At 38.5% G+C, this 23,818-nt stretch overlaps 1 protein-coding gene across 4 annotated transcripts; it reads right to left on the bottom strand.

The window, feature by feature from the left end:
* Nucleotides 1-1,310: 1,310 nt before the first annotated feature.
* Nucleotides 1,311-23,068, bottom strand: PPDPFL (pancreatic progenitor cell differentiation and proliferation factor like). Of its 4 annotated transcripts, none has more exons than NM_001256598.2 (5): nucleotides 4,922-5,060; nucleotides 4,519-4,617; nucleotides 3,268-3,345; nucleotides 3,071-3,170; nucleotides 1,311-2,894 (listed from the first exon to the last, which is right to left on the bottom strand). In NM_001256598.2, exons 2-5 carry the CDS (start codon nucleotides 4,571-4,573, stop codon nucleotides 2,873-2,875), a joined length of 255 nt encoding a protein of 84 aa, NP_001243527.1. In that variant the 5' UTR covers nucleotides 4,574-4,617; nucleotides 4,922-5,060; the 3' UTR covers nucleotides 1,311-2,872. The 4 variants fall into 4 exon arrangements, with proteins under 4 accessions (NP_001243527.1, NP_001243526.1, NP_001007177.1 ...); NM_001256597.2 differs by having other exon boundaries at nucleotides 1,311-2,252; NM_001007176.5 differs by having other exon boundaries at nucleotides 1,311-2,169.
* Nucleotides 23,069-23,818: the final 750 nt, after the last annotated feature.

The raw sequence follows: 23,818 nt of genomic DNA, 5'->3' as shown, positions 1-23,818 counted from the left end.
GGCCTTCACTATTGATTGTCTACCCAACAAGCAACAGAGCCAGACAGGAGATATTTTATCTAAAATAAAGCAAAATTATGCTGAGATCTATTTGTGATGTACTTTTTAAAGGCAGTGCAAAAATGTCTTCTGATACATCGAGAAAGATTATCTGGAATTAACCAGAAGATATTTTGTTCCTTTTATTTATTTCTATTATTTTAATTTTGTAGAAACTCTGGGATAGTATGCAGAAATTCTTTCCATTTTTAAATCATTTTGTGAGTTCAACTTAATGTTACTTTCTGGAAAGATTTCTTCTTTTTTTTTAACATATCTATCTATCTATTTCATCTATCTATCTTCACATATGTGTGTGTAACCACTCTAAAATATTTAATTACTCTATATGTTCAGAGTTTTGACTTAAAATTTTATGTAAAATTCCATTACTTTAAATAGTAATAACTTTCAGAAAGAGCAACACTAGTCTAAACTAATATAAAAGCTGTAATTTTTACAAATACATAAGCCCTCCCAAATAAGGTAATTTAACAAATGGTATTTTTCTCAGTAAACAAAATAAATGCCAACTTGCTAACCTATTTTGCAAAATTCATCAAGTAACCTAAACAAGCAATCTGTTCATACATATATCAAGTAGTTAAGAAAAAAAAGAATTTGCTGATGATATTAAAGTAGAAACAGGACCTTTCCACAGTTTATCATTTTTTTCATAATATTTTTCTCTCACTTAAAAAACTCCATTTTTAATTACTATGATTTAATTTGAACCAAAATCAAGTAAATATATATATACTCCTAAAATTTAATCCTCTTCTAGAAATAGAGAAAATGTGTTCATGCTGGCAGCCACCAGGAAAACCATCACATGTAGACGGTGATGTGGATCAAAGGGATGTTTGAGTCCTTTCATTAATAGCTACGTGATAAAGGGACACAAGCTTGAAGAAATGCCTTTCCCATTCGGAACAGGTAAATGATCTGTCTGCAATATCTGTCACTGCCAGTGGCCAGCCTGGATGCTCTGTCATGGTTATGTGGTTGGGCAGGAAGACCATCCTACTAAGGGTTATGTGTGCTTCACTGGATTTTTAAGTCAGCATTGGCCCCATGACTGTAGTGATGTCTACCTCTAAGTGAGTGAGTATCCCTGATATCTAAGTCTTACATCTTATACTGAAAACTACTTGCAAGCAATACACAGAAACTTATCAATTGAAACTTATTAAGTATTATCTACCCAATATTCAAAGAAGAGAGAGCTATTCTACTCAATGTAGGGAATATACTTATGCAGAAAATTTCAGTGCTTTTTTATATTAACATTTATTATTTTCTAATTACGCACAATACTTGTCATATTAGAAAAATTGGGAGATATGGAAAAATATATTAAAAAGAGAATGAAAAACGCCCATAATCCCATCTCCAGAAATAGCCCTGTCAGCATTTTGGTACAGTTCCTTCCAGTCTATCTTTATGCATATGTAACTTTTTAATACAACTACGATTGTACCATATATGGTGTATTATGCTAATTTTTAATGCCATAATATAATTTTCCATGTTATTAAATATTATTTAAAGTCATAAATTTTAAAGTCTATACAATGACCAATTGATTAGCTCTAATATACTTAATGATACATATGCTATTTCCAACCTTCATTCTTTTAAAAAAATTGAATTTTTACAATTATTTTCTAAAATTTCGAATTCAATGCCCTTTAAACCATTATGTGAAACATTGACAAGTCAGTTTTAAGGCATAATAAATAAATCACTCAACAGACAGAAAAAGAGTCTAACTTAAGTTTTTTTAATAAAAATGATATAAAAAATGAAAGAGCTACTTTATGTAAGTCACAACATTTGAAGACATATTACTTTAAAAGGGTGTCTTGTTTCTAAAGGCACACTTTTCAAAGATGCACCAGGTAGCAAGTGCCACTTCCAGCGATAGTCTTTGTGTTGAGAAAAATGCCTAAACTTTTTTTATATCAGTGGCTGCTGTGATCTTGTCTCATAAATGAGATCTCAGACACATTTCTGTCTTCTTACAATGGAGAAGAGTCCTGGAATAGCTGGGGCGCTGAAGGGGAGCTGTTCATGTATGGACCACTGCAGCAGGCAGAGGATCTTGATTGTCAGAATCAACTGTTCATGCTACATAAGGCAGGCAACCGTTACCAACATGTTCATCAAATGGCAGTGCAAAGATGATCAGCTACAAAGTGCTCATCTGTAATCTGGGTTGATTTTATAGTAGTCAGAGAGGAGGGGATAAATAAATGAAACACTGTCCAGATAATTCAAATGAATAAACTTGATAAAGAGTGTCAAGAAAACATCTTTCCAACAATCAATCTTGCATTGGCTTTTAAAAATACTTTAAATAATGATTCTAATTTTAAATAATGATTCTAAATTTGTCTTAGATAGGAAATTCATCAGAATCACTATATTTCAACATTGGCATCTATGAATCCCTTTATTATAGATTCTTTCTATTCCATTTAGTTACTAGGCATTCAAATGTCTAAAATCCAAAATAAGTAGTTTAAATATATTAAATTACAACTGTGCTAGTCAGTGTGTTTGAGTTCAAAATGTCTGAAAACAACTGCACACAAACTCCCAATTCAACCTGTCTAGTAATTTGCACCACACAGAAGCTAATCAAAATCAGCAGTGTTATCCTAAGGTTATTTAAGACAACAACTAGACAATGGTTATTCTTTTCCTGAAGGTATGAGCAAAACAAATTTAGACCCTTTCCTCTGATTCTCAGTCCATCCCCCGCCAAACAATGACACAGTTTGGCATATGACTTCTCCACCACTCTTGAGTGATTGAACTGGAAAGGGTGCTATGATCTTCCTGACAGCGACCTGCAAGGAGGGAGCTCTGTTAGTGCCACCCTCATCCCTCAGGTGCGCTTCATAGGCAAGGCTCACTGCTCTCAAGAGACAACTATGTACCCTAAGTGAGTAGCATAACACATACCATATGCATTATTTCATTCACTAAGTAAGAACTGCCCTTACCAGAGAAGGCTAAAACTCACCCAGTAGCAGACAGATCTTTTATTCTCACATTTGAAAGCACAGGTTCAGAATGGAAAAACGATTTAAACCACCAGGTGGATTCTGCCACTTCAGGCAACCCTATTAAATAAAATTCATGTTACTCCTTATCAAACAAATTTGAGATTGAAAATAAAAAGAAATAATAAGGATGACACTGAAAGAAATAACTAAGTACCTTGCTGTGGTTTGTCGTCATCTATGAAGTTAACAGAATCAGAGCTAGTTAAAGAACTAACTGAAGAAACACTGGACTCTGTAGGAAACAAATGATATTAAACAAATAAATAACTGGCAACCAGACAAGCAAATCCGCATCATTTATATACAAACTGTCAAGTAGCATGGTTTGAAATCATTTATTCCTGGCTTGTGAATTCATGAATTGAAAAACTGATCAAATTACCAATCAATAGAAAGCTGCTATATTAAGAAATACTATGTTCTACTGATAAGATATACTCATTTCCAAGGCAGGAAACTCACTCTCTCCTTGGATATCAATGTTGAATTTAAAATGTATTATAAATGTTTTCAGATTCAAAAACTAAGAAAGAACAAGACCAAGAATAAATATTGTTGTACTACATTAGAAATATTACATATATGTATATTTAAAGTTCTACAGAAGTCATCAAATCTAGAAATTAAGGAATTATTTGGAAAGAACAAACATTTTGTCTTATTAGGCTTGTATTTAAAACCTATGTCTCTTATAAGATCAGAATATAAAAGTAACTCCTGTGGATAAATAACACCAAGTAAATGAGCGTAAACTTTTGTAAAATGAATAAATCAGTAGTTGTCTCTAACACTTATACTACAAACAACCCTTGAAAGAAGAGTTTTCTATGTGTTGTTGCCATAGATACTTGTAATAACTACTAATTTGGTTCTGAAATGCTTATTTTATTTTATGAAATTTCTCAATCTTCTCTAAGAAGCTACAATTTTCTATTTGGCCATGAATATGAACAGATGGATAGATTAATAAAAATAAAACTGGCCAGATAGAAGTTGGCCTATTATCCATAGCAGAAGATGGAAATTAGAAAATTTTTGAAGCAAAGTCATGCTATCTTTTCTTTTCTAAGGAGTTGAATAATACTTTATTTATGTAAAATTATCAGTTTTTAGTGAATCTTACAGAATGCAAGGTACATAAAATTAAAATGTACTAATGAAACATAAGCCGATGTTCACTGATTTTTAAGTGTCAATGGCTTCAACGATACAGCGTAGCTAGAACAAAGAAGTGCCTGTCAGCACTGGATCAGAGAAGTCCCTGAGGCCTCCTGCTTTCTTCATTGTCACCAATAGTTCTCTCCCTTAAGTTCTGAAGGTAACATGATACCTGTGTTAACAATATCCCACAAACATCACCTCAAATCATATTATCTAGGGACGTCTCTATGATGATGCAACTTACTTCGATAATACTGATTTCTGGCTAGAAGGCAACCAATGGAAGGTACGGATGCCATGGCTTTACCCGTGAGAAAGCACCCAAGAAGCTGTGAGCATTAATCTGAAACAGCGACAGAGAAAAGAGACATTGATATGAATAACAGGGAGTTTCCTTTTCTTTTTTCCACGTGACTGTTACAAAGTATTATCATTTACCATGTAATAAATATATGATAAAAGGAATTTAAATGTTTACACAAAAGTTCAACCAAATATACTGCAATAAAAAGATGCAATTAAGTAGTACATTTAGGTGAAAAAGAAAAACTATACATCCAACTATACACAATGCACAGAACTTACTCCATCTAAAACAGACCTAAAGGTCAGAGAAGTGTTAACTCAGCCATGAGGTAGTCACTCACCGATTTGTTTTCTCCAATTCGTTCTTTTAAAATAAACGTGGTTCTAAAGTTTCTTCAGAAAATACATGCTTTGAAAGAACCAGTTCTTAGGGATTGAAGAGAGGCTGCACCACATACGCAGGGCCAGTGGTAGGTCCGTGATGGGAGACCCCTGAGCACACCTTATATTTAGAAGCCCCAGGCTGGCTGGAACCTGAGCTGTGGGTGACTCGGAGTGAGGTGGGCACACAGCCAGCCAGAGGCAGCAAGCAAGCACTCTCTGCACGTCTGCCCTCCAGCCTGCCAAAGGCCCTCCGAACGCAGCAGCCTGCCAAGTTTGGCTGCAGTCAGCAGGGAAGGACTTGGCCCAATGCTCTTTTGGACTCAGCCTCTTTAATATCACAACCGCTGGTGACTACAGAGAGGGAGGCGATACACAAGTGTCTCCTCAGCCTTAGATACAATCACACACTCCACCTGCAGCACCACGCTGGGCACGTGTGGGATGTACAAGCAGCCTGCTATCTGGCTGGGGAGACTGAACATACCTGCCCACAGTTTCAGTGAGGCAAGGCAGAGTCCCACGGTCAAAGCGGAGCAAGAAAGCACTCTAGGAAACATTGAAGTCTTCCTGAAAGTGGGACAGAGTCAGTGGAACTTGATGGACAGATGGACAGTGAGTTAGAAATTCTAGCAGGAATGACAAGAGAAATGGAAATCATGGGTAATAAGAGGATATTTATGACATTGTATCAATATCATTTACTGATACAAAAGCTAAATTTTATTCTGATTTTAGTAACAAATTTCTCGGATAGATTGCTTTGCCCTTTTTTTTTTCTTTTCCTGAGGCGGAGTCTCACTCTGTCGCCCAGGCTGGAGTGCAGTGGCGCGATTTGGGCTCACTGCAAGCTCCGCCTCCCAGGTTCACGCCATTCTCCTGCCTCAGCCTCCCCAGTAGCTGGGACTACAGGCACGCGCTACCATGCCTGGCTAATTTTTGTATTTTTAGTAGAGATGGGGTTTCACCGTGTTAGCCAGGATGGTCTCGATCTCCTGACCTCGTGATCCACCCGCCTCAGCCTCCCAAAGTGCTGGGATTACAGGCGTAAGCCACTGCGCCCGGCCTGCTTTGCCCTTTCACAGACTCAGTTGACTTACGCATCAAATTGTGGCTCCCTTTACATTGAGGGGTGATTGTGGCCATTGCTGATTCGATTTGTTCAGTGGCTATTGGTTGTGTATTCCTAACACAATTTTTGTAGCGTATACATTGCTAAAAAATTATTCATGTCAGCTAGGTTTTCAAATGTATTCAAAACATTTACTGTAGTATGCCATCATGGTTCCTTTCAAATATTACTCCAGACACAGGACAAAAAGACAGCTACATGATCCCACTTACATGTGGAATCTAAAAAACTGAAACAGACAACAGAAGAGTGATTACCCGAGGCAGGGAGATCGGGGAGTCAGGAGATGTTGGCCAAGGGTACAAAAGCTGCAGTTATGTGGGATGAATACTTCTAGAGATCTAATGTACAGCAGGATTGTAGCTAATACTGTTCCACTGCGTACTGGAAATTTTCCAAGAGAGCAGATTTCAGGTGCTCTTAACACACACACACACTCATGCACACATACAAAATAAAAGAACCATATGATATGGCTGTGTTAATTTGCTTGAGTGTAGTAATCATTTTAGCATGTATAGATATTTCTAAATGTCATATCATGTTGTACATCTTAAATATACACAATTAAATAAAAACAAAATAAACAAATAATAAATATCTACTTCACCTGACCGTCCTTCCTTTTTGTTGTTAATATCATTTATTTAGGCCTCTTCTCCCTCTCTGCTTTAATAATTAGTTTTGCTACACCTTTGTCTACTAAAGCCAATTTTTTCAAAGAAATATTTAATCCTCTCTTGTCTCTTGGTTTTGTATTTCTTTATTTTCTGTTATGCTTTAATTCTTCTTCCTTTTAGTTACTCCAAAATTACACTTCTTGTCATTTATTTCAAAATATTTTATAACTACAATTATCACATTTCTTGAGTGTTTAGGAATGCTTCCTCTTTTCCAAAAGTGTAAGACTTTCTTTAACTTTGAAGTTCAAGGGTACATGTGCAGGTTTGTTACACAGGTAACACGTGTTGTGGCATTTGCTGTACAGATTCTTTCATTACCCAGGTATTAAGCCAAGTACCCGTTAGTTATTATCCTGATCCTCCCCCTCCTCCCGCCCTTCACCCTCCAATAGACCCCAGTGTCTGTTGTGCCCCTCGATGTGTCTATGTGTTCTCATTATTTAACTCCCACTTTTACGTGAGAACATGTGGTATTTAGTTTTCTGTTTCTGTGTCAGTTTGCTAAGGATCATGGCCTCCAGCCCCATTCGTCTTCCTGCAAAGGACATGATCTCATTCTTTCTTAGGGCTGCATAATATTCCATGGTGTCTATGTATCACATTTTCTTTATCCAGTCTACCACTGATGGGCATCTAGGTTAATTCCATGTCATTGCTATTGTGAATAGTGCTGCAATGAACATACATGTGCATTGAGATGGAGTCTCCCTCCGTTGCCCAGGCTGGAGTGCAGTGGGCGATCTCGGCTCACTGCAAGTTCCACCTCCCGGGTTCACACCATTCTCCTGCCTCAGCCTCCTGAGTAGCTGGGACTATAGGCAGACACTACCATGCCCGACTAATTTTTGTATTTTTAGCAGAGATGGGGTTTCACCGTGTTAGCCAGGATGGTCTCCAGCTCCTGACCTTGTGATCTGCCCGCCTTGGCCTCCCAAAGTGCTGAGATTACAGGCGTCTTTATGATACAATTTATATTCCTTTGGGCATATGTCCAGTAATGGGGTTGCTGAGTCAAATGATTGTTCTGTTTTTAGGTCTTTAAGGAATTGCCACACTGTTTTCCACAATGGTTGAACTAATTTCCACTCCCACCAACAGCGTATAAGCGTTCCTTTTTCTCTGCAACCTTGCCAGCAGCTATTATTTTCTAAGTGCTATCTTTTAATTGATGATTTCTAAACCTTCTGCCTTGTCATGAGATAATTTCTGATTTTTACTCATTTTTGAAGTAGTCTATGGAAGTGGCTTTCTATGCACTTGAGAATAACAAACATTATTTATTTACTGTATACTGCCATTATGTTACATGTGTCTGCTAGATTGCATTACTTAACATTTTAAGCAAATAATTCTTATACTTACCAATGTGTTACTGCTTGATCTACCAGTTTCCTGTATATCATCTAATTATATTGATTTTTGTTTTATGAATTTTGAAGTTTTGGGATGGGGCACGCAATAATCACGATTATAATATTGTCTGAGTGGATATTTGCTTTGTCTTCTTTTATCATTACTAACGTTTTACCTTTGTGCTGTTTGTTTAATTAGCCTAATATAATATTGTAGTACCAGCTTTTTATCTGAGTAATCATAAAGTATATCTTTTTGTATCCCTTAATTTTCAACTTGCTGTTCTCTCTGTATCAACAATCACTTACAAGTATCCTTTAACTGTATTTTTTCCTAATGATATCTGTTTTTTGAAATATTTGAGTTTAGCCCACTAATATGTATTGGAATGACTCACAATTTGAACTTTAGAGGTTGAGATCTTTCTACATAATTTTTATGTCTCAGCCACATGTATGCATGTGTGTACTTTAAAACCTTAATATAAATGTAAATTTAGTTAATTTATCCTTTATTGTCTGTACTGCATTTTGAGTGAGTACCACAGTGTTTCTTCCAATTTACTACTTCTCCTTTTAACTATGTCTTACCTAAAATTTAGCTTGTGTGTATGTATACACACACACAAATACATACATATGTATGTATATGTATTTACCTATTTAAATTTTGTTGCTTTATTTCTGTCCTGTTTTTCATAATTCTTTCATTTGTTTCTCTGACCTTCTTTAACATGATTACTGTGAAGTCTTGGTTGAAACCCTCTATGAAATTAGCATCATTCCATGTGCATTCTGTCACAGTTGTGACTCTGTTGGCTGGCTTTCTTAGCAGGAGATTTCTTCATAAGTTTTGGCTGTCAGTTTGCAGGTTCATTTCGAGTGTTCTCTCTGTCCTCTGTACTCTTCCACCCACTAGGCCATCCCACCTCTCCTGGCTAGTGGCATCATGGTGTTCAGGTACCACTCTCACCTGACCCTAGTTTTTGTGTCTTTGAATCATAACACTACTCACATTTTATTAAGTTATTTACTTCTCTCACATATTAAATTGTGAGCAGGTCAAAGATGGAGGTACCTCTATTCATTTCAGCTTCAGCAATGCCCAGCACAAAACCTGACAGATATGGTAGTTTAGGTTCTAAAAATGTAATAAAACTAATGCATCCCTTCTTTGCCTGGTAATAAGGATTACATCCTCGGGTAATAATTAAAATGTCACAACAGGGCTTAGATTTAAATGCTATAACTGACATAATTAGAGTAATTTTTACCTGATTGCTGATTCAAGTTTTTTTTTAAATATCCAAGTACTAAAATTAATCACAATCACATGCTCAGCAAGTCTTTTGTCCTAGAGTCGAGGGTGCTAACATTTTTATTTGATAATGACAAGAAGAGAGTGACTGTCTAATTCCAATGACATGCTGAAAACCAGCAGGGAAAATGGAGCTGTCCTCTGCACACTCCTGTTCAGACAAGTTGTAGGATGTGCCCTACTGAGATATCAGCCTCTTAAATGGTTGAGAAAGGATTCAGAAAGACTAAGTTCTAATTAGTCAACTGCAACCCTTCTGAGAGATGATCTGTTTATCACATGTAAGATACTATTACCCTTTCTAAATTTATTGACATTGGATGCAGTAGTAAATAGATATCAGATTGCTGCTTTCTGGAGCATGGAAATCCATGGCAAGAACAATGACTAAACTTGCTAATAATTCACCATGGCCCTGTGTTGTCACAGACCACTGGCCATGTGTGCAGTATGAGAGGATCAATATCTGACTGTCTTGGAAGACTTAAAGTGTCTAGATCTTATTCTAATCTGCGGTTATAAAATATCTGATTGTCCATGTAAGATGTCAAGAATTTTAAGTGTGTCATGATATTCAGGCCAATAAATGTGCTATATTAAGCATAGCATAGTCACTCCTAATAACTAATGCTGCAAATGAATATGTGTAGCATGTACTCTATAAACACATGGGAATCTGCATTAAAACACTGTTTCATTTCATAATTGTTGCAGAAAAGGTTGCCAAAAACTAGTTATTGACTATCTCTGGGCCTCCACAAGTGATATATGAAAAAGGAAATAATAATATCAAACTTTATTTGAAATTCATTTCAGTTTCAATACATATAATTCAATTGTTTGTTTAAATTTTATATTTCTCTGAATTGTCTGTAGTCTATCCATTAATTGTCATGATTTTACACAACAGAAACCAATCTCATCTAGAATCAGGAAACAATGTAATGGGAGGATGGTGGTCAGTTCATACAATCATTAGGAAGCATAGAGCAGTGTGCTCTCATGAGCAGGATTCTCCAGAAAAGATCCTGGGAGCTTACAGGGGGTCATCAGGTACATGAATTGCCAGAGCCAGGACACGGGAGGAGGTGCACCCAAACCACTTCCCATGGCACTGGAGCTAAAATTGCCACAGCCACACATCTCAAGGGCCAGGCTGCTGGATCTTCTAGACAGCCTCTAAAAAGTAGCATCCTAAATCCAGTGGGCACCCCAAATCTGCCTCCTTACACCCTGGCTGTTTAGTGATCCGCTGAGAAAGTTGTTCTTATCTAGAAGAAGGCAGCCCAAAACAACATAATATTACAGTATGTTCTCCAGAAAATTATTGCCCTCCTTCTTCTTGGGGGATGAGAGACTGGGGCTCAGAGTGCCCTCTCTTACTGACCCCTGGCTCATATGCTTTCCCGATAAATCCTGTTTTTCAACCCATATTACGTGATATTGTAAACTCTGTCCTGAGAGCTATTGCACTTCTGGGAGTCACTCAGGAAAAATCCAGGCTTAGAAAATGACAAGAACCAAGTACATTTAAGCAGAGAAGCACTTGCCCAAGTCACACCACAGGCAGAAAATGGCAAGGGTCCTGCTGTCAACTATGATGAAGCCACCAACACAGAGCCCCCAGCGGGCTGAACTTAGTGGCTAACCCTAGGCCAGGCGATTGGCTCTAGCTTCATGGATATGGAGAAAATATGTATCCTTGTAGCAAAAGCTGCTGTCTTTCAGTATCTACTCTCTTCTTTCATTTTTAACATTTATTGGGCATCATCCACCCGACTAGGCAACCCATTTCTCAGCCTCCCTTGCAACAGGGAATATGTCGGGGCCAGTGAACTGTGAGAAATGCGTTGTTTATCTTCAAGATCATCTCCTTAGAGACCAAGCCACTTGGCGTGGACTTCTTTTTGGCTTACTGGCTGGAGAATGTTACTAACTGAAACCATCTTGGAAGAAGCTACACTGTGAGAATAGCTTTCCCACCTCAGGGCTAGTACCAGAGAATGAAATAAAATTCCCTTTCTAGGCCGTATCATGTTCTTATTGTTATAAGAGATTAGCTTGCACTCTGACCATTAAAATCAACTCGGACGTCAATAGGGAGTGGCACAGAGTGTTAGGTTCCCCCAAAATAGGTCTTCAGATGCCGGGCTGCCAAGGAGCAAAGGCTGATGTCACCAGAATGTTTTATTGTTCTTGATCCTAACACAAATCTTTTGCTCTGCTAAGCAGGCCCAGTCATTTCCTTCCACTTGAATGTGGCAGCCTCATTCCCACCACATGCCCTAACTTACATTGTTTACACAACTTACAAGTATTTCTCTTTTGCCCTTTTTCCTGAGCCCCTTAAAGCATAAGAAAATTAAGTTAAATAATTTCCTGATTCATATCTGTATTACTATTGGATGGAATAATGAGTCAGTTGCCCATCATGCAAATATGAAAACACTAAAAACCAAATTAATATCAGTTTTCGTCTTCTCTCCTCTGCCCTGCATCTCTCCTGCCTGGCTGCCAAATAGTAATCATGCTATAAAAACACTTTTTGATCAATTATTACCAAGCACTGGTCTGGATTCTTGAGGTTTCCTCCATAGGCATCCTTGACACCATCTAGAAAGCCACAGAGCAGCTGAGTGATATCTCTGGTAGTTAAATTTACTAGTAGCAACAAGATATTTCCACCTCAGCCTCAATGTTAACTCATACACTGGGGGGAGGTGAGTTCCCCTTTCTGATGCAAAGACCTTTCCTCAGTATGTTCTCCGTTTAGGATTCTCTGAGCTGCACTTGTTTTTTGTTTTTTTGTTTTTTTGTTTTTCAATACTGTCACACTTCCTCCTTCCTGTGGTAAAGTAACTAAATGAACATAACTGGCTCAAGCCACATCTGTGTTTCTGGCTTGCAAATCCTACACCCAGTGAGTTGGATAATTACTCTGAGTAACGGTCAATATACTGATAATTTGGAAGCCTATGAAACAGATTGGGAACATGAACACCCTTTATTGTCTAGCAGACATTCCATAGTATCAGTAAGACCAAAGAATTATCAAATTCTTTTTGTTTAAATTTTGATTGCTTTTCATGTCAGATCGAAATTTAAACACCATTTTCCCCCGATCTATATTACTCCCATTTCCCCACAAATCCCCATTCTCAATATGAGGAAGCTGCTTATTTTGATATGCCTCAGATCCTCGTCTATGAAATGCAGAGTGCATCTGATTATCTGACTGTAGGAACTCAGGCTCTGTTCCCTGGAAGACAGACAAATTTGCCCACAGTTTTATTAAAGACTTTTCTTGGGAAAATGCTGAAAGAGAGTAAGGAAAGCAGGGCTGAGCAGTGAGAGATGCTGGACTGAAGTGAGTGGGCCTCGGTGGGCTTGTCCTGGGGGGGAACCTGGGCGGCACTGCCAGGCCCCACATCCTGCCTTTGCATTGCTTGAATCCACTGGCTTTGGATAGTAAGTTCATCCCTGAGGAGCATCTCCTCAGGGGCTCAGATTGGTTCTTTTTCTGGGAAAACTTATACAAGGAAGGTAAGTGGGATGAAGTTTAATTCCTGCCACTGCAGAGGACTTGAGGTCACAGTGACTCCCACCCTCTCTGGCCTGTGTTTCCTGACCAGCACCTCTTCTGAGACAAATGGTTTACCCAGAGGACCGACCCATATCTTCATCTTTGAACTTTCTGTACCACTGGTCACACATCTTTTGTAAGCTGTGGGTGCATGTGTGGGAAAGGTGCAGTTCCAAGAAAGTCCTGTTCATATGGCTCGCCCTTGGCTGTACCTGGGAATGAGCCTCTGGAATGTTTTTTTGCATTCCTGAGGTCTTAAGCCACATGGTACCAGTTGTCTGGCTAGTTTAGAGCAACATGTGTTCTATGGAGATCTGGCGCTTCAGTAACAGAAGAAAGTCAGGCAAGTGCTCTATGCCTGCATGACCAACCCTCCATAAAAACCTCAGGCTCTGAGGCTCAGGTGCACTTTCTTAATGGGTAGCATTTTGTACATGTCACACATCTTCACTGGAAGAATTCAGTGTGTCCTATGTGACACTACTGGGAAGGAAAACCTAGAAGCTTGTGACACCTGATTTTCTCCGGACTTCCCCCCAATCCAGGGAATCTTTGGAAGTCTACCATTATCTACTGGATCCAGCTGGTTTTTGTAGGGGCCTGGTAGTTAAATTAAATGGCAGCCACCACTCATGCATTTTTTATATATACTTTTTTTTTTCAGGGTCTCACTCTGACACCCAGGCTGGAGTGCACTGGTGCCATTTCTGCTCACTGCAACCTCCACCTCCTGGGCTCAAGTGATCTTCTTGCCTGAGCCTCACAAGTAGGGGACTACAGGTGCACACCACCATGCCTAGCTAATTTTTGTATTTTTTGTAGAGACAGGGTTTTATCATGTTGCCCAGGCTGGTCTCGAAATCCTGGGCTCAGGAGATCCACCTGCCACAGCCTCCCAAAGTGCTGGGACTACAGGCATGAGACACCACGCCCAGCTCATTCTTTATATCTTTAAAAGTAGCATTAGTATCAGCCATTTCTCCCAGGATGCAATTTTTAAAACATTTACTATCTTGGCTATGACATGGGGCAGGTGGAAGGACAGGGAGAAGTTCTGGAAGCTGGCACCAAGCCTTGCCTACTACATCACTCCTGCATCACAGGGCAGTGACCAAAATGATTGTTCTGCCAGCCATGGATTGTGCCCATGTGAATTTTACATTTGCAGACCAGGGAACTGGCCATTACGACCAGTGGATAGAGTAAGAGTAAACCAGACCTGGGTCAGGGCTCCTATACATACCGCCCTAACAAGCATGTCATGATGACATTTCTGACCCCTGAGAATCTATTTCAACATAGTTCTTTTGTTTGAGAAGTCCTCAAAATGTCATGTACTTCAATTCCACAGTGCATGAACAACCCTTAGGTCCCTTTGTGGAAGAACTAGGGTAATGATTTTCAGATGCACTTCCCGTGGTGTTACAGGATCCCTACTCGTGGGAACCCAGCCCTCCTTCACTCCGTAAATTCTGGGTCTGAGAAGTGTCTAATAAGATCCAGAAACCAGGCCAGAGATCATGAATATTTTTTGATCTAGCTTCCCTCAAAATCCTTGGCTGTATTTTTATTGTACAAATGAAGCAATGCTCTTGAGACCACTGGTCCGTCTTGGCCCTGGGAACACCATGTCTCTAAGCCATCTCCCTGTGTGCAGGGCATCCTGTGCTGCTATTCTGACCTTACCACTCATGACAATTGCACTCACCAGCTTCTGATGATTAAGTGCCACTGCCTGACCCTTCTTGGGGGATCTTGTCATTCCCATTGTAAGTAGGGTTTCCTACTCTATAACAGCACCTCAGTCCTGAAAAACAGAAAATAAGCCTCACTGATTTTCTCAGTGAAACTGGTGCTCTTGTCTCCAATGTGCTCTTTTTCATTTTAGGAAAACAGTGTTCCCTGTGAAACACAACCAGCTTAAGTAGGACACCCACTCCAGCATGCACATTACTCTGAGGTTTTGGTTTTTTACCCTTTCTTCAACCACCTTCTGTAGTAATTCAGGAATTTCTATTTCACTTTGTATGGGCTATTGTTACTTCCAAGAATTATCCTCACAACATATCGGTTTCACATGGTGCCCTTGCCAGGGTGTTAGATGCTATATGGTGGAAAAATCACCCTTATCAAAAAATTCTCCCTTAACCAACTTTATGTCTGGCACTCCTTGAGCCAGCTCCATCAGGAACCCGTTCTGTTTGCATTTGCCCATGTGCATTTAGCTAAGCCCTGCTGCTCCTTTAGGGTAGAGGCCCTTTCCTACCTTAGCAGGCCAGCAATCCTTAGTTAGCTAATGTTGTAACTCATGCAGGTTATTTGTCCAATGGGCAGGTTAGAACATAGGTGTAGATCCAGCAAGGACATATGGTGCATCCTTTTAAGCAAGGAAAGAGCCCTGATTTTAAAACGAAGGAGTTGGCCATTTCTGTAGTTGTAGAAGGTTTGGGACAATCTTGTGATTCAAAAAAATTTAATGCATTGACTGAAATGTCCCCATCACAAATCTCAGTGTCTGGTTTTTGCCCGGAGAGGCCTTCCCCTTGGAGAAGCAGACTCTGAGCTTCTCATAATTAAGCAGACTCTGAGCTTCTCATAATTAAGCTCACTCCTCAGCTTTTTTATCATTTAGCCACAAGTCCCTTTACCTGCTGCCAAGGAGCCATCTGACTTTCTCCTTACATCAATATTCCCCACTCTCCTCTGGCAGATTTTCTCCAATGAATTGGCAACACCCAGCACCAGTCAGCTCATCCCACAGCCCTCTAATTGCTGTTTCCCCAGACCCTCTTTCCCCAGACCCTCTCAAACACCGGAGATGGTGCAACCACTAAAGCAGCCCCTTCCACCATCGCACCATTCCAATTTCCATCTGTGGGCATTTGGACAATTGCCCCGTGTGTTCATTTGCTAAGGCCACTGTAATAAAATACGGCCAACTGTGGGGGACTTAAACAAGAGACATTTATGTCCCACAGTTCTGGAAGGAGAAGTCCTAGATGAATGTGTCCACAGGGTTGGTTTCTTCTACAGCCTCTCTCCATGGCTCATAGTCTTCTCTCTGTGGGTCTCTGTGTCCAAATTCCCTCTTCTTATGAGGACCCCAGTTGTATTGCATTGGAGCCCACCCTAATAAGCTCATTTTAATGTAATTACCTCTTTAAAACCCTATCTTCAAATCCAGTCCTATTATAAGGTTAAGACATCAACATCTGAGTTTTGAGGGACACGGTATAGCCCATGCCATCCTGCTTGAGCTTGCCAAAGACTATGGGTCCCCACCTGTCACCCATGACAGGGTCCACACTGCCAGCCAACTGAAGGGGATCAGCTCCAACAGCCCAGCCCTACTGCTAGGAGAGTTTCTGCCTCTCGCTGGGCTCCATGAGGACTATGTAGGGGGAGTTTACTGAGGCATGAGGGAGACAGTCCTTGAGCATCACCTGTTCAAATCACCTTTCTTCATCAATTACATCATGATATCACTTAGACAATTTACCAATTATAAGTAAGATTTCAAACACGAAATGTATGCTAAGGGAAAAAAGTTTATTTTTGAACATGAATTACCCATTTTATAAAATATCTTCCATTACGCCAATTTTGATTCATTTTTATTTACCCATGAATGGATGCATTGCAACTTTTGAAGGTAATATCCATATTTTCTGGTATAAAATTTCACACAGTCATTTTTTTCCGCTGATCCTTTAACTAAACTTATACAAAATAATTTCCTAGTCAGAATTAAAAACAGAGATGGGCTGGGCACGGTGGCTCACAGCTGTAATCCCAGCACTTTGGGAGGCCGAGGTGGGCAGATCACCTGAGGTCAGGAGTTCGAGACCAGCCTGACCAACATGGAGAAACCCTGTCTCTACTAAAAATACAAAATTAGCCAGGTGTGGTGCCGCATGCCTGTAATCCCAGCTACTCGGGAGGCTGAGGCAGGAGAATCACTTAAACCCAGGAGGCGGAGGTTGAGGTGAGCCGAGATCCTGCCATTACACTCCAGCCTGGTCAACAAGACCGAAACTCTGTCTCAAAAATAAACAAACAAACAAACAAAAAACAGAGATGCAATAAGCTTCAGAGGCAGAGACAGGAGATGCATTTTTAATAACATAGGGATAATTATCAAAGAGCCCAAGTCCACCTAACATGTTGAAAGCATTAAATTATATGTTATTTATTTAAAATAAAATTTTGAAATCTGAGACCTACACATACAAAAAAGAATAGCTTTAGCAGTAATATTTATTTTACTGTACTCTTCACTCTATGCCTAATTGAAGATATAATGTTCAACTACAGTGTTCTTTCATTTCCCTTCTATTTCTTCCCTCTTATGGAAATAAACCCTGCTAAACTTTCAGTTGAAGTGCAGTATTAACTTTTATCAGATGGTCCAAAGCCCGGAATGGTTTTTGAACTTCACTCCAGGGAGGGCAATATATCTTTATAAGTTTCATCACATGAAAGAAAAAAAAGACAACAAAATAAAACATTACCTTGGCTAAATTTTCTCAAGCTGTTGCCAGAAACTACAGAAAACTCTCTGGTATTGCAAATACATTATAACATAGTAAGATAGTTTTATGTAACAAGATCAGTAGTTGAAGGTAATTTCTGTATAGTTAAGTACAGGAAGACACAAGCAATTAATATTATGTTAATCATAGACAATTTTCTAAAGTATTATTACTATATATATTCACGCATATACACTCAATCACAAAAACATGCAAAGAGGTATGGAATTTTAGGTAATTACAGAGTAAGTGTTTGCATAACAATAGTTTTGCTTGCCATCTAGAGAAAATATTGCTAAAATATTTGCCAAAGACAGAATTGCCTCAAAATAAGTCAGTCTTCTACCTTTGCATCTATAACACTGAACTGAAAGGTATGATTTAGTGTTCTTCCATGAATCCACACTCATTTCTAATTATTGGTGAATGTGTATAAGTATTTTGAGGTTTTAGTATTTCTAGACTAAGCCTTACTCCCCTGGCTACCTCATTCCCTACCATGAACCAAGATCACTATAGCGTTATCCCTCTTTAATTTAAGGCCTTAAGTATTGTGCTTTACCTCTGTTACATGCTACCCTCCACACCCAACCCCACACCACACCACACCACAACACACCACATCACACGGAATATATATAGACCTGGGTCTGGAAATAGGATAGCATTTAACATTACAGAGCAGGTGTTAAAATCAAAGAGCTGAGACAGAATATAAAGCCCCTGTTGTCTGCACTGTTTCCATTCAAACTAAAGTGGGGTGCCACAGACACTGTTCTCAGGGAATGTGTCCATATCTAAGAAAGCCAGCCAGAATAGAGGCTGTTCAGTCAACAGTTACAGACCACTCCGACTGTGCAATATACTGTTCCAAGCACTAGTGGGGATGCATATATCCCTGCCATTAGGATATTTATAGTCCAATTGGTGGAGATAATTTTATTAACAGGCAGCCAGAAAGAAGAACCTTTGCATGGCATCAAAGTGGGTGGAGGTGGCGCTCAGCCCTCTGAGGAGATGCACAATGACAGCCAAGCATCAAGCAAATTAAGCAAATTTCTAGAAAATGGAGACTTTGGAGGTTAAGACTTCTTTAAGGCTCTTTATTAAATAAAGAAACCAGTTGTCTTTCTTATCTGGCTCCTTCTTTCTTGATGAAATTATAAAACTTTTCGCTGAAGTAACTTTTTAAATACTCCATTGCAAGCAATGTGCTAACTGTAAAATATTGGTCTAAACAAAATAAAGTGCTTCAATCCTTGTCATATTAGCATTCAGAATGCATTTAAACTGTAATTAAAACACATTTTTCTTTGAATGCACATTTAATATGCACAGCAAGATTGATTAAATATCTCCAGCAAGCTGATCTTTTAATTTTTGGTTTCCAAGATGGCACATGCATTGATTCAGTTTCCCGCTTGGTATTCTTTCACTGTCTTCATCCCTCACATATTCCAGCAGAGTGCCCTCCAGTAGAAGCAGAATGCCTAAACACAGAAATGGAACAACAAATCCCAGAACTGCATATTGTAATATATGGTGCATATTGTACCATTTAATTATAAACTGTTAATCTTTTAAGTAAGACTTTTATTTCATAGAATGGGGAAGAAATGTAACCTCAAGATTAGGACTGAAAGTTGGGAATCAGAGGTTACAGGTCTAACTTTGCTTTGAGCTACTCACATAAACCAAGACAAATTTCCTTATGCTTAATTCCACAATGGATAATTTTTACTTACATTTGTTGATGAGGGCTAATAAAATGTAGGAGGTGTTCCTTCAAGTCTGGATTTTGTCTAAATGTGCTGAGGTAAGGAAAACAGCATTTGTCTCCCCTATGCCTTTATTTTTTCTTATAATAATAGTGTTATTAAAATTTAAGTGTTCTTCAAAATGTTATATATAGGAAGCTTTAAATTATTTTATGCATTATACCACTTGTTACCAATTTAACCCAATTACTGTTCTCCTTTACTTTTCAGTTAATCTCTGATTGTACATTAGACATCTGTGAAAGGTAAGGAACTATGTTCAGCCATTTTTAGCAAAACTCTATGAAGACATGTCTATTGGAGTTCAGTCATCAGAGTATATAATCATATTAGGGGACTTGAAGGGCTTCCTTCAGTGAACTTCATTAAAACTAACTTCCCTTGATCATTAAAATACAGTTTGACTTTGTAGCAGCATTTTTTGGTGAGTGTAGGCCTTTTGGTGAGTGTAGTGAAGTATCATTGAAGTTATCACTAAAATATCTTTGATCTGAGATTTTATGTAGAATTGCTCATGGAAATAGCACACCCTTTTTGCAGTGCTTTATGCTATCAATGCATACAGAGGCTGCAAACTCACTCATATTATTTTGTAAAATATAATCTTTAATTCATTTAAAAAGTAAATATAAAAAATTTTGCTCCTTCATATCTAATGGGAATATACTGAAATAGTTTGTTTTAACTTTTAATTAATTGAATTTTTCATACAAGAGATAAAGTGCTTATGGCTTATTAGGAGGAAAAGAAAGGGTTAGCTCATTGTCCAAAATTCACGACCCTTCATTCAGACTAATAAAAATGTTGATAAATATTTCATCAAAAACTGAAATCATAAAGTGAAACACTTTGTAACTGTTTCAAGAGCCACAGTAATGTGCATTCGCTAAAACAATGCATATATTGGCAAGGCTTTTTTAGCCTGTCATTTTAGGGTACAGTACTAAGGGCTTCATAACTTGCACATATGTCACAAGCTTTCAAAAAATTAAGGGAAGAACACAAAGTTTGAATACCAAGTTTGCAATAATAATCACCAAGTGATTTCAAGTCCAGCAACAAAACTGGGGAGTTTATTTTCTAATCTAGAAACGGGGTATCTGTGCATCATCAAATGACACACTAGGGTGAAAAATTTTGCAAGGTATGGTTCAAAGTAACAGCTATTTATATGAGTGGCTACTGTATGTCACACCCTACTGCAATTTTTATTTCCAAGAATTTTGTGGACTTAAAAAATACCAAAGGATAACTGATTGTCGTATTTCTATCTATCACAAAATGGAAAGTTAGGGATTGAAATGATTAGTGCATTTTTGAATATATATCTGGTGTTTATCATTTACAGATATTAGTTTTTATGGATATTGCTCTATCAGCAGGGTGAAAGCCAATATACTTTGTAAATTCTCAATGCCCGTTGGATATCTGGCAGGCTCACTGCACAGATAGTAGTAACTCATCAATCCATTGATTCATTCAAAGACTTTTTGTGTATGTATACTACACACCAGGGCTTATTATGATGTGAATACAGAAGGTTAACAAGACAAAGTTTTTTATCTAATTGAACTCAAGTAATCTAATAAATTATAATATAACTTCCAGTAAAGAAATATGCTACAAATAAAATAAACCAAGGAGAAAGAGTGTTGGAGGACTGCTAATTTAGATAGAGTCTAAGAAACAGCATCTCTGAGGAGGGTCCATTTGGGCAGAGCCTGCAAGAAGGACCAAATTCAAACATAATATCAATGTGAGGAAAGTTCCAAACAACAAGAACAGCAAGGAAGGGTGCTCTAAATGCTTGGAAACAGAAGAGAATGCCATGAATTCAGCTGAGCAAGTGAGACAGGGAGAGGGAGGAGGCTGATAGAAAATGTACTCAGAGAAGTCAGTAGAGAACAACTCCTACTTGTAGAGGCAGTAGGGATATGGATTGGGTTTTATTTTGAGCATGAGGGGAAGCTTTATATGAGTTTTCAACAGAATCATGACAATCTGGTTTTCATGGTTAAAAGATGTTTCTAGCTGTTCTGTGGAATAAGGACTCTGAAGTTATCAAAAGTGCAAGCAAGTAGAATTAGGAAGTTATTGCAGTTCTCCATGAGAGCGATAACAAAAGATTGAACACATGTAGTGGTAGGGATCAAATTTTGTAAGTTGGCTATACAACTGACAAAATACCATTTTTAGCATTGGGAGGAAAGTATGTTTAAAAAACAAGAGTGGCTACTAGATTTTCCACCTAGGCAACTGGTAAAGGAGAGACTGACAACAAATTGAATCTAGTGTCTTTCTTGTATGCCATGGTGTCTAGACCAAGGGTTTTACTTTGGACAGTCAAATCTGAAATGCCTTATTAAACAATCAAATGGAGATGAAACAGTCACCTGAGGCTCAGTACAGAGGCCAGAGCTGTAGATGGAGATGCAAGACCTGGCATTTATTATTCACAGATATTACTTCATTATTCATAGATATAAGTCCTGGAAATTACCAATGTAATATCATATTTAAAACCAAAAGTCTAAATGGGATTACCTGATGGTATAGTACATAGAGACCAGCAAAGAACACAAAAGGCTGAGACCAGGACATATCAACCTAACATTAGAAGTCAGGCAGAAGAATGAGAGCCAGCACAGGAAATGGGGCCTGAGCAGGTAGTGCAGTAGCAGAAATTATTATAAGTGTGGTGTCCAAGGTGCAAAATGAGACAAAGGGGGCAAGAAGGAGGACCTTGCAACTGCCTCAGTGCAGAAACCTTTGATGTACAGTAGGGAAGCCACTGTTGTTGACTCTGATGGGGAGTCTAGGAAAGGCATGGTGACGGCTTTCAATAAGACTGTAGCAATTAGGAGCAGGAGGAAAATATAAAATGAACACTACTTAACAAAGTAAAATCATAGAGCCCAGAAACCAACTGATCCACAGCCAAGGAAGAAACCATAGTGCCATTCTCTAAGTAGAAAGTATAAAGAAATGTGCACATTTTAGGAAAACTCTATGAGTTCAGTTTCAAACATATTGAGCTTGAGGTTTCTGAAGCATCATGGAGCTCAACAGCGACTGGAGACTGGCCTCAGCCAGAATTAAAAGCACACACGGAAAATAGAGCTTTGAGGAGCACCAACAAAAAATTTAAAGAATATATTGGGCAAAGTGAGCCTGCCCTACAAGATTATAAGGGAGACAACTAAGAGAACATATTGACACATATGTGAAGTATGCCTTTGAGTGATAATGCTGTTTCAAATTTCCTTGTCTTAATCTTTCCCAAACTTTTTAAACCTGGCTTCAAATTTGTGCATTAAGAACAGATGGATATATCTTTAATTTCCTCCCACTGTGATCAAGAAGAAAGAAAAGAAAGCCCTGTAAGAGTATACACACACACACGGACAAACACACCCACACTCAGACACATATAGTTCACCCTTGAACAATGTGAAGGTTAACAATGTGAAATATCAGCCCCTGAGCAACCGAAAATCCACATACAACTTTGACTCCCCCAAAATTTAACTACTAATATCTTAACTGTTGACCAGAAGGTCTACCAATAACATAAACAATCAATTAACAAATATTTTTGTACGTTATATGTATTGTATCTTGTATTCTTACAATAAAGTAAGCTAGAGAAAAGAAAATATTATTAAAAAATCATAAGGAAGAGAAAATATATTTACTATGCCTTAAGTAGAAGTGAATCATCAGAAAGGTCTTCATCTTCCTCTTCTTCACACTGAGTAGATTGAGGAGGAAAAGGAAGAGGAGGATTAGTCATGCTGTTTCAGGGGTGGCAGAGGCAGAAGTAAATCCACGTATGTATGTGTGTGTGTATATACACACACATACACACACATGCATATATGTATACATATATTTTTTTTTCTACATAAACCAGTTTCTTCTGGGACACAGACTTTCTGCAAATATTGATGAGTTGGGGCATGATAGTAGAAAGAAGAGAGATTCTGAAGCAAGCCAATCTGAGGTTGAATTCTACTTCTCCCTCTTTTTCACTGTGTAGCCTTTGGCAATTTACTTCATCTCCATAACTCAGATTTCTTATCTACAGATGGAGGATAACTAAACAAACTCCACTTGGTTGTTGTAGATACTACATACAACAATGTTTGTAAAATTTCTACCACAGTGCTTGGTGCATAGATGCTTAACGGGTGTTAGTCTTTGATATGGTTTTGTTGTGTCCCCACCAGATCTCAACTTGAATTATATCTCCCAGAATTCCCACATGTTGTGGAAGGGACCCAGGTAGAGGTAACTGAATCATGGGGGCTGATCTTTCCCATGCTATTCTCATGATAGTGAATAAGTCTCATGAGATCTGATGGTTTTATCAGGGGGTTCCGCTTTTGCTTCTTCCTCATTTTTCTCTTGCTGCCACCATGTAAGAAGTGCCTTCGCCTCCCACCGTGATTCTGAGACCTCCCCAGACATGTGAAACTG

The sequence above is a fragment of the Homo sapiens genome, chromosome 8 (genome assembly GCF_000001405.40).
Source record: "Homo sapiens chromosome 8, GRCh38.p14 Primary Assembly".
Lineage (NCBI taxonomy): Eukaryota > Metazoa > Chordata > Mammalia > Primates > Hominidae > Homo > Homo sapiens.
This window is presented reverse-complemented; position numbering and strand designations above follow the sequence as displayed.

What these genes read in the sequence shown, in the direction of transcription:
- PPDPFL (NM_001256596.1), bottom strand. Translation starts at nt 4,573, where the DNA reads ATGGCATCCGTACCTTCCATTGGTTGCCTTCTAGCCAGAAATCAGTAT. An exon ending in TGACGACAAACCACAGCAAG is followed by an intron (nt 3,171 to 3,267) that starts GTACTTAGTTAT and finishes TTTATTTAATAG; the next exon opens with GGTTGCCTGAAGTGGCAGAA. An exon ending in AAAGATCTGTCTGCTACTGG is followed by an intron (nt 2,253 to 3,070) that starts GTGAGTTTTAGC and finishes AAATCAACCCAG; the next exon opens with ATTACAGATGAGCACTTTGT.